Here is a 14,962-nt window from a genome sequence, read left to right as displayed (position 1 = left end):
TAACACAACTAAAGTGCTGTTAAAAAGAAAGTTTATAGTGTGAAATGCCCGTATAAAAAATTAGAAAGATCTTGAATTAACAACCTAACATTACACCTACAGGAACTAGAGAAACAAGAGCAAACCAAAACCAAAGCTAGCAGAAGACAAGAAATAACCAAAATCAGAGTTGAACCAAATGAAGTTGAGATGCCGAAAATTATACAAAAGACCAATGAATCCAGAAATTGGTTTGTTGAAAGAGTAAATAAGATGGATAGAATGCTAGCTAGACTAAAAGAGAAAATAAAGAGAAAATTCAAATAAACAAAATCAGAAATAACAAGGGGTACATTACAAATCAACCCCAAAGATATTTTTAAAAAAACATAGACAATTATGAATACCTATATGCACACAAATTAGAAAACCTACAAGAAATTTATACATTCCTGGAAATATGCAACCTCCCAAGATTGAACCAGGAAGAAATGGAAATCCTGAACAGACCAATATTTAGTTCCAAATTGAATCAATACTAAAAAGCCTACCAACTAGAAAAAGCCCAGGAGCAGAAAGATTCACAGCCAAATTCTATCAGATGTAAAAGAAGAGCTAGTTGCAATCCTACTGAAACTATTGCAAAATAATTGAGGAGAGGAACTTCTCTCTAACTCACTCTATGAGACCCAAATAATTCTAATACCAAAACTTCACAGACACACACAAAAGAGAAAAATTCAGGCCAATATTTGGATAAACATAAATGCAAAAATCCTCAACAGAATACTAGCAAACCAAATCTAGCAGAACATCAAAAAGCTAATCTACCACAATCAAGTAGGGTTATTCCTGGGATGCAAGATTTGTTCAGTATACACAAATCAATAAATGTGATTCATCACATAAACAGAAAATCAATAAATTTGATTCAACACATAAAAGCCACATAGTCATCTCAAAAGATGCAAAAAAGGCCTTGGATATTCAGCATAACATACCTTCATGTTAAAATTCCTCAGCAAACTGGGCATTAAAGAAACATATTCAAAAATAATAAAAGCCATATACAACAACTCCATAGCCAACATCATACTGGATAGTCAAAACCTGGAAGCATTCTCTTTGAAAACTTAAACAAGACAAGGATACCCTTTCTCATCACATTTATTCAACATAATTCTGGAAGTCCTAACCAGAGCAATTAGGCAAGAGAAAAAAATGAAAAACATTTAAACAGGAAGAGAGGAAGTCAACATATCTCTCTTCATAGATGATAACATTCTATATCTGGAAAACCCCATAGCCTTTGTCCAAAATATCCCTGATCTGATAAACTTCAGCAAAGTTTCAGCATACAAAATCAATGTACAAAAAACAGTGGCATTTCCATACACCAATAGCAGCTAAGGTAAGAGTCAAACCAGGAACTCAATCCCATTCACAAGGACCATGACAAGAATACAGCTAACCAGGGTAGTGAAAGGTCTCTACAATGAGAGATATAAAACACTGATCAAAGAAATTGGAGATGACACACACAAATGGAAAAACTTTCCATGTTCATGGATAGGAAAAAATCAATATTGTTAAAATGGCCCTACTGCCCAAAGCAATTTACAGATTCAATAGTATTCCTAGGTCAAACTACCAATGACATTCCTCACATAATTAGAGAAAACAATTTTAAAATTCATATGGAATCAAAAAACAACCCAAATAGCCAAAGCAATCCTAAGCCAAAAGAACAAAGCTGGAGGCATTGCACTACCTGACTTCAAACTATACTACAAGGCTACAATAATCAAAACAGCATGTTACTGGTACAACAACAGACACATAGACCAATGGAACAGAATGGAGAGCCCAGAAATAATGCCGTACACCTACAGCCATGTGATTTTCACCAAAGTCTACCAAGATAATCAATAGAGAAATGACTTCCTGTTCAAAAAATGGTGCTGGGATAACTGTCTAGTCAAATGCAGAAGATTGTAACTGGAACCCTTCCTCAAATCACATACAAAAGTCAACTTTAGATGGACTAAAGACTTAAATGTAAAACATAAAACTATAAATACTCTGAAAACTAATTTAGGAAATGCCATTCTGGATATAGGACCTGGCAAAGATTTTACAACGAAGATGCCAAAATTGATTGCAACAAAAAAAAACCATAAATTAACAAGTGGAACCTAATTAAATTAAAGAGCCCTTGCAGCAAAAAAGAAATTATTAAAGGAGAAAACACAAACTACAGAATGGGATAAAATATTTGCAAATATGCATGCAACAAAATTTACTATCCAGAATCTACAAGAAATTTAATCAAATTAACAGAAAACAAACAACTCCAATAAAAAGTGGGCAAAGGACATGAATAGACCCTTTTCAAAAGATGACATTCATGTTGCCAATAAGCATATGGAAAAGTGCTCAACATCACTAATCGTTAGAGAAATGCACAACAAAACCGCAATGAGATATCATCTCATACCAGTAAGAATGGATATTATTAAAAAATCTAAAAATAACAAATGATGGTGAGGTTGCAGAGAAAAGGGAACGCTTATACACCCTTGGTAGGAATGTAGATTAGTTCAACCATTGTGGAAAGCAGCTTTGTGATTTCTCAAAGAACTTAAAACTGAACTACCATTCGACCCACCCATCTCAATATTACTTGTATACCCAAAGGAGTATACATTGTTCTATAGTAAAATAACCTGCACATGTATGTTCATTCCAGCACTATTCACAGTAGTGAAGACATGGAATCCACCTCCATGCCCATCAATAGTAGACTGGATAACAAAAATGTAGTACATATACACCACGAAATACTATGCATCCATAAAAAGACTGAGATTATGTCCTTTGCAGCAACATGGGAGAAGTGGAGGCCATTAGTCTAAGCAAAGCAACAAAGGAACTACAAACCAAATACTGCATGTTCTCACTTATAAGTGGGAGCTAAACATTAAGTACACATGGACACACAGACAGGAACAACAGACACCGGGGCCTACTTGAGGGTGGAAGGTGAGAGACAATGAGAAACCACCTACTGGGTACTATGCTTATTACCTGCATGACAAAATAATCTGTACATGAAACCTCTGTGACCTACAATTTACCTGTATGACAAATTTGCACATATACCCCAAAAACTAGAAATTAAAAAACATACTAAACGAAAGGGTTCAGGGAGCTTCTGTGTCAGCAAACACATTTACATACCCTGAGAGTGGCACACCCCAAGTCCACAGAGATGTTACCAAACGAAACTCAAGTCAGCCTGCCTGATACAGCAAAGTCAAATGCCGACATGCAGATTGCCGCAAAAGAAAAGGAGGAATTTATTACAGGGGGCCAAGCAAGGAGAAGTGGGCAGCTAATGCTTAAGATCTGAACTCTCTGATGGATGGCTTACAGGTAAGTTTTTAAAGGCAGGGAGACAGAGGTTACAGGCAAAGTCATAAATCAGTATATTGACATTATATATGGGCTTAACCTGAAAATATGGGACATCTCAAAGTCAGGGCCCACACATCTTAGGTAGAGTCAAACATTTTCTGATTTGTGATTGGTTAACGAGGCAAAGTTTTGTCTAAAAAATTGGAATCAGCAGAAAAGAATTTTAGCTCTCATCCATGGGTGTGACTTCCTCCAGGCCTCTCAGGAAGAAATTCAGAAGAAAAAGTGGTGGTCTGAGTTCTGTCCTCAGTTCCTCCTTATCTGAGGTCTATGTGCCAGTAGATCTATTTAGTGGGGTTCCAGGTTTCTGAAAAACAACTCATGAACATATGGAAAGATGTTATTTTAGTTTTTATAATGGAACTAAACATTCTGTGATTTTTAACTTCCTTGGCTATTGCATTAGGCAATTATTACCTTCTTACTTATGAAGTTGCTTGTTTATTTCTCAGTACTAGCTAGGTGCCTGGAATTTCCCTGAAGGAACTTAAGCTTTTCCTTTATCTCTGTACTTGGAGGAACTTGCAGGTCACTAAGAGGGGTCCCCGCTTCATCTCATGCCCCATTACCCAACTTCTGGGGAGGTGGGGGCTGTAGATTGAGTCAATTACCAATAGCCACATTAATGTCTATATAATGAAACCACCATAAAACCCATAATGAAAGGGTTCAGGGAGCTTCTGAGTTGGCAAACACATTTACTTGCCCAGAGGATTGCAGACCCCAACTCCACAGACAGGAGCTCGCGGGCTTGGGATTCTTCTGGAACTTCCCAGATGTACCTCTTCATCTGACTCTTCATTTGTATCCCTTATAATAAACTATAATAGTGAGTGTAGCATTTTCTTTATTTTCATGCTTCATTCTAGCCAGTTATATAACCTGAAGCAGAGTGGTTGTGAGAACCTCCAACTTTGTATCCAAATCAGGTAGAAGTAACCTGGATACCCCCTACTTGAGACTGACGTCTGAAGGGAAGGCAGTCTTGTGGGATTGATTTCTGCGACATCTGGAGTCTGATGCTCCAGACTGCAGTAAGTGTCAGGACTAAATTAAATAGTAAGACACTTAGTTGGTGTGAGAGTTGGAGAAGTAGTATTGGAAAAGACACTGTGAATTTGATTTCAAAAGAAAAAAAAGTTTCGCTATTTTTGTTTTGTTTCCAATTATTATAAAACTGGTTTATGTCTTACTTGGCACGGACAGAAATTCTTTACATGTCTGCTTGACATAACAACGTCACAGATTCTGGACCGTAATTTATGGTAAATGGCAAATCAAACACAGAAGCATTCACCCAGAGCACTAAATAGTCTTTGGGCAGAACTATTAAACACCAAAAGAACAGGCTACCCTGTCCTTATCTTATTTTCTTTTAGATAAGTTTTTATAATATTTAGACCAGAATCAACATTACTCTGCCTTAGAGGGATTTTTTTTTCTTTCAGAACAATCACAATAATGATATCAATGAACATGGATAGAGAATATACTATGGGCCAGATAGTCTCCCAGGTGGTTTACAAGTATTTTATTTATTCCTTTCAATAATGCTACAAAGCAAGCAATTTTATTATGCATCTTTTATAGGAAAGGAACATGAAGATCATGTTATCCAAAAATCATGAAATGGGTAAGGAATAGAAGCTAGATTCAAAACAAAACACAAAAACATTTAAACATTTAAACATGCAAAGTTGGGAATTGATTAGTTTATAGGCTATCAAAGCATTGTGACCCAGTTCAAAATAGTTGAAATTCCCCTTCAGATTTTTTTATAAAAGGCAGTATTTCTCAAAGTGTAATCCATAAGTATTCTGAATGATTCAGATGTTCCTCAACCTTTAAGAACCACAAATCTATGATGTGAACATCAAAGTTCTTTCACTCTGCTACCTCATGACAGTTAATATAAATATGGTATTTAAAACCGTTAGCATTGTTTACATTGCTATATTAATGTAGAAGTTCACAGAACAAACAGCTAATTAAAAGATTAAATAACACGCATGTAAATGCATGTAAAATGCCGAGCATATTCACTAGCATGTAGAAATGTTCAATAAATGAAATATATTATTATTATCATGATACAATTACAGAAAATTAAAAACTTATTTCAGGTAATTAAGTCATATTTATTCAGTTCAGGGATTGTCAATGATCAGAATTCTGGATTTTGTCTTTACTAATTCATTGCACTTGCTATCCTTAGCCAGGGACATATCTGTTCATCTTCCCAATCACAGTCGTTTTGCTTTTACCAAAACTTGGATGCTAAATTAGTTCACTACATATATTCACCCTTAGGAAATACTGAAATCTGTATTCCCTTGCCAAAGGTGATTTACCTTTCCAAGTGGCATAGCTCCAGGGAAGATATTTGGTTGTTGGAAACTTTCAGTGACCACATAGGATTTTTAACTAAATAGAGCATGAGACCAGAGGCACAAAGCAGTATCCACAACACTAAGATTAAGCAAACATTTGTACTCAAACCATCAGAAAGATTCAGTCCCATATATATGTCACACTGGCTGTGATTCTCCACTACAAAGGTGAGTCTAATTTGTTTGAGAATTATTTTTCCTTTACTTTAGGCAGTAATTTCAAATTACTCATATTTATTATGTATTTGGCATTCTACATATGAATTTTGAATTGTAAAGTAACCTTTGTAAAGTTGAGGGACAAATCACACAAAGTAAATGTTTTCCTGTCATCCACGGGGTGTTTTGAATATGTAAGATGCAGTCTGTGTCTACCCAGAACCAAAAAGCCAAAAATTCTTGAATAAAGTTGTTAATTAAGTCAAATGATTGAATTTGTATTAGAGGATTCTTTTCTACTGAACAGTGTGGCTGTTTCAATATTTTCCCCATGTTATATCAATAGCTTGTGGACATACAGACACTGCCTTTGTGGAGGGTAGGATGTCAGAAAGAAGAGAAAATAAGATTGTTGAGTGGAACTCTATTGTTCCAGAACAGTGATCTGTGTCTGTTTTCAAGTAAGTATGAATGTGGGGAAGGGGATGATAATCAGTTTACCTACCAGCTTCAGAAAGGGCATGGTTTTGAAGTTAATAGACACAACATTCCTCACCTACATCTAAAGAAATTGCCTAGAAGAGCTAAGAAAGACAAATAGAAGTAAATATAAATATACATACTAGAAATATATATAAATATATGTAGAAAAATATATAAATATATATTTTATACATAAAATATAAAAATATTAGAATGTTTTAAGTCCAGCTATCCTATTTAATAGCTTAGAATTAATAACAGCCCATGAATTGACTTGAAGAAGAAATATTTATAAGCATCTGTTCACATTATTATAATTTGCTGAGTTAATATAGCCTTTAGTTGATGGATTAATGGTCCACTTGACAAATAAATATAGCTGTATATTTACAATGCCAAAAAATCCTTTATTCAAAAAATACATTGGATGGTAATTAGTAAAAACAGTCAAGCTGCAATAGCTCTGTATACCTGAAAGAAGAATTACTACAGTTAAACCAAATTTTCTATTAAATTATCTGACTGATACAATGTGCTGAAAAGTCTCATCTATAACAATATTATACATCATAATTTTTCACAGCTTAGGATGATGCTGGTTTATTTATTTTTGTTAACTTTTAATGTTAAAGAAAAAAACAATGGTTCCAAATTAAAGTGATGTTTACTCTTTACCTCTGTCTGTAGAGAAGAGAATTCAATTTTGAATAAGTATAACCATTCAGAATGAAAAAGTATAAGCATTTAGAGAATCTAAGAATTTTCAGATCTTAGACTTTCACCATCATGTCACCATAGCCTTCAGTTCAATAATCTAATTAATATTTTATGCTGTGATTGTCAAGCTTCTGAATACGTCAAAATATGGCACCATAAAATGAACTAAACTAATAAATTAAATTAAAAATTAAAATTTTGTTTTGGTGTGCAATATGACATTAAAAAAACTATTTTCAAACTCTGTTATATGCAAAAATCATGTAATTTCTTTTTAGTAATCTTTTTAGAAAGTTCAGTATTGATCTGTGGCCTGTTAGGACCTGGGCTGCATAGGAGGTGAGCGTCAGGTGAAGGAGCATTACCCACTGAGCTCTGCCTCCTTCAGATCAGCAGCAGCATTAGGTTCTCATAAGAGTGTGAGTCCTATTGTGAACTGCACGTGTGAGGGATCTATATCACATGCTTTTTATGAGAATCTAATGCCTGATGATCCGAGGTGAAACAGTATCATCCCGAAACCATCCCCTCTCCTACAACCCCCATCTGTGGAAAATGTTGGGGACCGCTGATTTAAAAACATATGAGTAAACAAAACAAAAGAAAACAAAAATGTTAAGTAACTTTCCCCTTATATCATAATATAAAATGACAGAAATGATTCTTTTTTCCCATGATTTAATGTTTACCTTTTTCTTAGCACAAATAAAAGTCATGTAACTTTTCAGGTAGAAAATGTTATTTCACATACTTCCTAAAATCATGACACATACCAGCAATGGTACACCTACTGTAATCTGGAAAAAGCTGACTAGACACAGGTGATTTTTTTTTTTTTGGTGCTTCTCTGCACACTCTATTTTATTATTCTATTTTATTTTACTCTGAGTTCTGGGATACATGTGCCAAACATGCAGGTTCATTACACAGGTATACACGCGCGATGGTGGTTTGGACAACAGTGATTTTTAAACAAGGACTTTTTAATATCAAGTCCTGCCCTCCTTTATCCATGCATTCTGCATTAATAAAAGGAGTCTGATGGTGGTTTAAAGTTATAATGGAGGCAGTGGAAGCCTGTGGTCAAGGAGTCAGTGGGCTGTGGCAATCACATGAGAAAGATACTTTAAATAGTATGTAAAATAAAGGGACTGCATACACTACATAGGAAGACAGTAATGCAACCAACAAGGCTTGGCACAGGCTTGGCACATGTAGTGTCTTTGCCTATTTTGCCTGTTTTATTGTCCTATAATCTTTGTTTATTTCCCTGATAGCCAATGCTTAAATAAGCCATCTCAAAGACGCTGGTGTTACTGTGTGTTTGTGTCTGCTCACATCTGAATGCTCATATAGTGGATGTAGTAATTTAACCAGTCATTGGCACTGCCTTTCTGAAGGCCCTGAATGAGACCATCTGTGTATGAGATGAGGTCTAAAATCCTGCAAATATACAAAGGCATGACATTTGCGAATATTCTATGAATAAAAGTGGGAAATTAGCTCTTTGCCTCTTTGTGCTCTTCTCTTTATGAGTTGACAAGTTCTCTTCTTTGTATGGAGTTTAAAAATGGTAAACACTAAAAAACTTTTTTTTATGTTCAATATGTAACAGTCCTCAACCTGCAAAAGCTTTCTAAATGAAGTTGTACACATTTTTGTTAGCTCAGTTACTTTGATTGTGTCTCCTAAGAAAATAAATCGATTTTGTTAAATATTTTAAAAATCTGAAACAGACAGGCCAAATATCAATTTAAGTATTTACAATAATAGTGGCTTTTTAATTTGCAAATCTTTTCGATAACTTGTCTGTGACCAATAGCAACACTCAACCATTTTTAAGCTGTTTCCTATCCTTTTCTTACTCGAAGTACTACTTACTCATTATAGTTACTACTACTCTCCCCCAGCATTTATCAATATCAAAGATTCTCTCATGCTTCCCTCTCATATTCACCCAGCCTTTCTAGGTCTCCATGGCAGTATACTGCATGGCAAAATGTTGTGTGAGGCATGTCTACAAGCCACTGTAAGTGTGGGATAGAATTCTGAATTTTATTTGAAGAGTGAAGGGCAGATGCTAAAGGTTTCAAAGCAGGAGGAGGTAAACTAGAATGACTGCATTTAACAGTAAGACAACTAAGAAGGTATGTAGTGGGAGGAAGGAAAAAAATTTCATCAGTTGTGTGAGATATTATTGTTCTTCAAAGGAAAAAATGTTTTATTTACACTCACATATTCCATTATGTGGTCCTTGTGTAACCTAAAATAAAGCAACTGTAACTTCTTGTTTAGTTTTTAAAAGACCTATCTTGAATATGTTTGGGTTTCCAAAAGTTGAATATAAATAAACTGTGACTCAAATCTAAATGAGACACTTTTAAGTCAGTGTTTCCTTCCTTTTTCCATCAGTATACATAACAAAAACACAATAATATTAATACGAGTAATATAAAAATCATAACACTTTACCACTAATTCTTGAGAGTTGAAAAAATATTTTTATTCATTTTGATCTGTAAATATACTCCTGTTTGTAGTACACGATCTCAGTTAAAACATTAAAAAGTTGAGCTACAGAGAAGTGAATGCCAGGTCAGGAAAAGCCATGCTCACTGGGAGTTAGGGCTTTGAATCACTACCTGGGATAACATACCCAGTACGTATGTCCGGAAACTGTGCAGTCAAACAGTTATTCAGACCATAAAAGCCTCTTCCTTCTCTATTTTTCCATTTGCACCATCACACCAGGGGAAATTATGGAGATGAGAAATACTACCCCAGATTTTATTCTCCTAGGACTCTTTAACCACACCAGAGCCCACCAAGTCCTCTTCATGATGGTTCTGAGTATCGTTTTGACCTCCCTGTTTGGCAATTCCCTCATGATTCTCCTGATTCACTGGGACCACCGGCTCCACACGCCCATGTACTTCCTCCTGAGCCAACTTTCCCTCATGGACATGATGCTGGTTTCCACCACTGTGCCCAAAATGGCGGCTGACTACTTGACCGGAAGTAAGGCCATCTCCCGCGCTGGCTGTGGTGTGCAGATCTTCTTCCTCCCCACACTGGGTGGTGGAGAGTGCTTCCTCTTAGCAGCCATGGCCTATGACCGCTATGCGGCTGTCTGCCACCCACTCCGATATCCCACTCTCATGAGCTGGCAGCTGTGCCTGAGGATGACCATGTCGTGTTGGCTCCTGGGTGCAGCTGACGGGCTCCTGCAGGCTGTTGTTACCCTGAGCTTCCCATATTGTGGTGCACACGAGATCGATCACTTCTTCTGCGAGACCCCCGTGCTGGTGCGTTTGGCTTGTGCTGACACTTCAGTCTTCGAAAACGCCATGTACATCTGCTGTGTGTTAATGCTCCTGGTCCCCTTTTCCCTCATCCTGTCCTCCTATGGTCTCATCCTCGCTGCTGTTCTGCACATGCGCTCTACAGAAGCCCGCAAGAAGGCCTTTGCCACCTGCTCTTCACATGTGGCTGTGGTGGGACTCTTTTATGGAGCTGCCATTTTTACCTATATGAGACCCAAATCCCATAGGTCCACTAACCATGACAAGGTTGTGTCAGCCTTCTATACTATGTTCACCCCTTTACTAAACCCCCTCATCTACAGTGTGAAGAACAGTGAGGTGAAGGGAGCCCTGAAACGGTGGCTGGGGACGTGTGTAAACATAAAACACCAGCAAAATGAGGCCCACAGGTCAAGATGATCTAATGTCAAATGAGTCTAAGTTCCTGAATTTATTAATATTTTAACACATTGTTATTCTCTCCCTTTAGCAATTCATGCAGAGAAAATTAAGTTTTTGCATTGATATAATAGGATATTTTTAAGAATTAAGTGAGCTAATTGTATTGAGAGATACCATTTTTAGCATTTATGTACTTTTCTTCAAGTGAAGTAGTATCTATGGATTACTTTGTATCCTACAACAACCCCATGATATAAGTACTGTTGACAATATCTCCTACTTTCTAAAAAAAGAAATTAATGCATGGAAAGGTAAATATTGTTCCCAATTTCACACAGCACGGAAATAATAAGAAGTGACTCCAGAGCTTGTTCCTTAACCTGGAATAGTTTATTTCTGTTCAATAATGTATTTTGAGTGTTATTTCATAGGTGTATGCTCTACAATTAAAAACTAAATATGAGGACTCCACCAAAGAAAAATATTATTTTTATGTTATATTTTAAAATATAGATGCATGACAAAAGGGAAAGTCCACAACTCAAATGTAACTGCTATATTGCCACAATTTTTTTGTATTTTTTCAACAGTCTATTTGGTGTTTAAACGTAAGCCTTTTTTAATTTATGTAACCTTTCATTTAAGTATTTTTTTTTCCAGGGCCTCATTGTAATTGAATTGGAAAATTGTTTTAAACTACAACTAAGTTCTGTTTTCTACACCTGCTTTAAGGTTACCTTGACTTATTGACATACCTCCATCGATATGAACTCTGAATTGCATAATCATGCTGAATCTTGACAGTTACTAACAATGAATTATCAAAACTGAGTAACACTCAACAACCTTATACATTATTGTGTCACCACCTTACTTCTGCCAAGACATAGGTAATTAGAGGTATTTCTGTTGAAAAATTTGGGACACCTTCTAAAGATCTGGGGTTTGCAAAACAAAAAAAAAGAAGACTATTCTATTAATAAAGACACAAGCTAGATAGTGATGGCAGAAAGCTGTGGTTATCAAAGCCAAATTGTAACCAGAGACTGGATATCAAATCGTCTTAGAGAGTTTTATGATAAAGGCTATATTTCCTGTATGTAAAACACACTTAAGAAATAATATAAGTTTTAAACACACAGTGGGACATAACTAAGAGCTTCCAGGGACAGTGTATCTTCAATATAAGTGTCTGAAAGTTAACCTGCCATTTCTGGCCATCCTGAATTTCAAAAGGGACTTGTTTTAGAACAAATGAAAGGAGTTTTCTGCTTCATCTAGAGCTTCAGGTTCCAAAGCAGTAATATATTTAAGATAGTACCTTAACCAGTGCATGCAGATCCTGAGCCTATGTCTCAAGAGAAGGTTATTCAGTAACTCTTTTCTCCTTGGAAGACTTGAGGATGAAAGGAGAGAGTGTCATCTGTTTGATACTTTTGTTTGCTACTCTTGTTAATTTTATCTCCTTACCCAGTGTTAGGGTGAGAAAGGAGCAGAACTGCACAAATTCTGTCATTTATACCATCTAAAAAAATCTTCTCTTAGAATGGGTGAAATTTACACAAGTAAATGTAGTCATGGAAATTTCATTACTCATACCAGGTTCATTCACCATCAGAGAAATTATTTTAGAACATGTTGAGCTAAAAATGGTAAACTAAGCCTATAAAATTTTGTAAGGATAAAATATTCTAACCAGAAAATTAAGCCTAATATACAGGAGAAAACTAAAACAACTAGCATTTGGCATTTGAATATTTTTAATTTTAACCCTTCTAGTGGTGGTATCTTTATGTCATTTTAAAATATGCCATTACCTAGAGAATAATGAAGTTCAGTGCCTTCTTAGATGCTGACCAGTCATTGATATATGTAATTTTAAGAAGAGTATCTTTATATCTTTGGCCAAAATGTTTTTGTTTTTATTTATTTTACTCAGTTTTAAATTTTTTATTTATTCTGGACAAAAGTATTTTGTCAAACATCTGTACTATAAATATTTTTTCCTGCTTTTTGGCTAGCCTGTTTGTTATTTTAATGGTATATTTTTCAGAGCAGAGATTTTGATTTTTGTAAAGTCCAATATATAATTTTGTTTTCTACGATTAGTGGGTGTTTCTTATGTATTATCTCTATAAAAATTATATACTTCAAGAATGAAAGGATGGCATCTATTTTTTTAACATGAAATTAGCATTTTAATGTGAACAACTCAGTGGCATTTACTACATTCGCAATGTTGTACGACCATCATCACTAACTCCAAAACACTTCCATCACTCCAAAGTAAAACCCCTCATCCATTAAGCAGTTTTTCTCCCCATTTCAGCCCCTAGCAACTGCCAATCTGCATTTGGTCTCTCTGGATTTATCTACTGTAGATATTTTATGTAAACGGAATCATAAAAGATATGAGCTTTTATGTCTGGCTTCTTTCACTTTTTCTTTAAAATTATTCTTTAAGTTCTAGGGTACATGTGCACAACGTGCAGGTTTGTTACATATGCATACATGTGTCATGTTGGTGTGCTGCACTCATTAACTCATCATTTACATTAGGTATATCTCCTAGTGCTATCCCTCCCCGCTTCCCCCACCCCACAACAGGCCCCGGTGTGTGATGTTCCCCTTTCTGTGTCCAAGTGTTCTCATTGTTCAATTCCCACCTATGAGTGAGAACATGCTGTGTTTGGTTTTTTGTCCTTGCGATAGTTTGCTGAGAATGATGGTTTCCAGCTTCATCCGTGTCCCTACAAAGGACGTGAACTCATCCTTTTTTATGGCTGCATAGTATTCCATGGTATATATGTGCCACATTATCTTAATCCAGTCCATCATTGCTGGAAATTTGTGTTGGTTCCAAGTCTTTGCTGTTGTGAATACTGCCTCAATAAACATATGTGTGCATGTGTCTTTATAGCAGCATGATTTATAATCCTTGGGTATATAGGTGCTGGGAAAACTGGCTAGCCGTATGTAGAAAGCTGAAACTGGATCCCTTCCTTACACCTTATACAAAAATTAATTCAAGATAGAGACTTAAATGTTAGACCTAAAACCATAAAAACCCTAGAAGAAAATCTAGGCAATACCATTCAGGACATAGGCATGGGCAAGGACTTCATGTCTAAAACACCAAAAGCAATGGCAACAAAAGACAAAATTGACAAATGGGATCTAATTAAGCTAAAGAGCTTTTGCACAGCAAAAGAAACTACCATCAGAGTGAATAGGCAACCTGCAGAATGGGAAAAAAATTTTGCAATTTACTCATCTGACAAAGGGCTAATATCCAGAATCTACAAAGAACTCAAACAAATTTACAAAAAACAAACAAACAACCCCATCAAAAAGTGGGCGAAGGATATGAAGAGACACTTCTTAAAAGAAGACATTTTTGCAGCCAAAAGACACATGAAAAAATGCTCATCATAACTGGCCATCAGAGAAACGCAAATCAAAACCACAATGAGATACCATCTCACACCAGTTAGAATGGCGATCATTAAAGAGTCAGGAAACAACAGGTGCTGGTGAGGATGTGGAGAAATAGGAACACTTTTACACTGTTGGTGGCACTGTAAACTAGTTCAACCATTGTGGAAGACAATGTGGCGATTCCTCAAGGATCTAGAACTAGAAATACCATTTGACCCAGCCATCCCATTACTAGGTATATACCCAAAGGATTATAAGGCATCTTCTTTTTTAGAGCTTTATAGATTTAATATTTATATTAGAACACAGATCAATTTAGAGACATTTGTGGTTTTTAAGTGTATTATGTTTCAGTCAAAACATGTTATTTATCTACATATTAATTTTTCTATAATATTTCTAAGCAAATTTTATGGAATCAAGCATAAACATCTTGTATAGATTTTCATATATTTATTTTTATTTATTTTGTTATTTGGTTTAAGCAAAATGTTTATTTAAAAATTTTTAAATATAATTGTAGAATTAAGTGCAATGTATTTTGTTTTGGACTGTACTGTATGTTCTTTTTCACTTTTTCAGACTTGTTTACTTTTTCCATTAACTTTGAGGTTT

At 35.5% G+C, this 14,962-nt stretch overlaps 1 protein-coding gene across 1 annotated transcript; it reads left to right on the top strand.

Annotated features, from left to right (window-relative positions):
- Positions 1-5,802: 5,802 nt before the first annotated feature.
- OR2T33 (olfactory receptor family 2 subfamily T member 33) lies at positions 5,803-13,862 on the top strand. Its single transcript, NM_001004695.2, has 2 exons — positions 5,803-6,014; positions 9,957-13,862. The coding sequence occupies exon 2, from the start codon at positions 9,965-9,967 to the stop codon at positions 10,925-10,927; it is 963 nt and encodes a 320-aa protein (NP_001004695.1). The 5' UTR covers positions 5,803-6,014; positions 9,957-9,964; the 3' UTR covers positions 10,928-13,862.
- The last annotated feature ends 1,100 nt before the right edge of the window (positions 13,863-14,962 follow it).

Source organism: Homo sapiens, chromosome 1, assembly GCF_000001405.40.
Source record: "Homo sapiens chromosome 1, GRCh38.p14 Primary Assembly".
NCBI lineage: Eukaryota > Metazoa > Chordata > Mammalia > Primates > Hominidae > Homo > Homo sapiens.
Note: the sequence above shows the minus strand (reverse complement) of the source record. Positions and strands in the feature narration are given on the sequence as shown.

Coding starts and splice junctions, on each gene's coding strand:
- OR2T33 (NM_001004695.2), top strand. CDS start 9,965: ATGGAGATGAGAAATACTACCCCAGATTTTATTCTCCTAGGACTCTTT.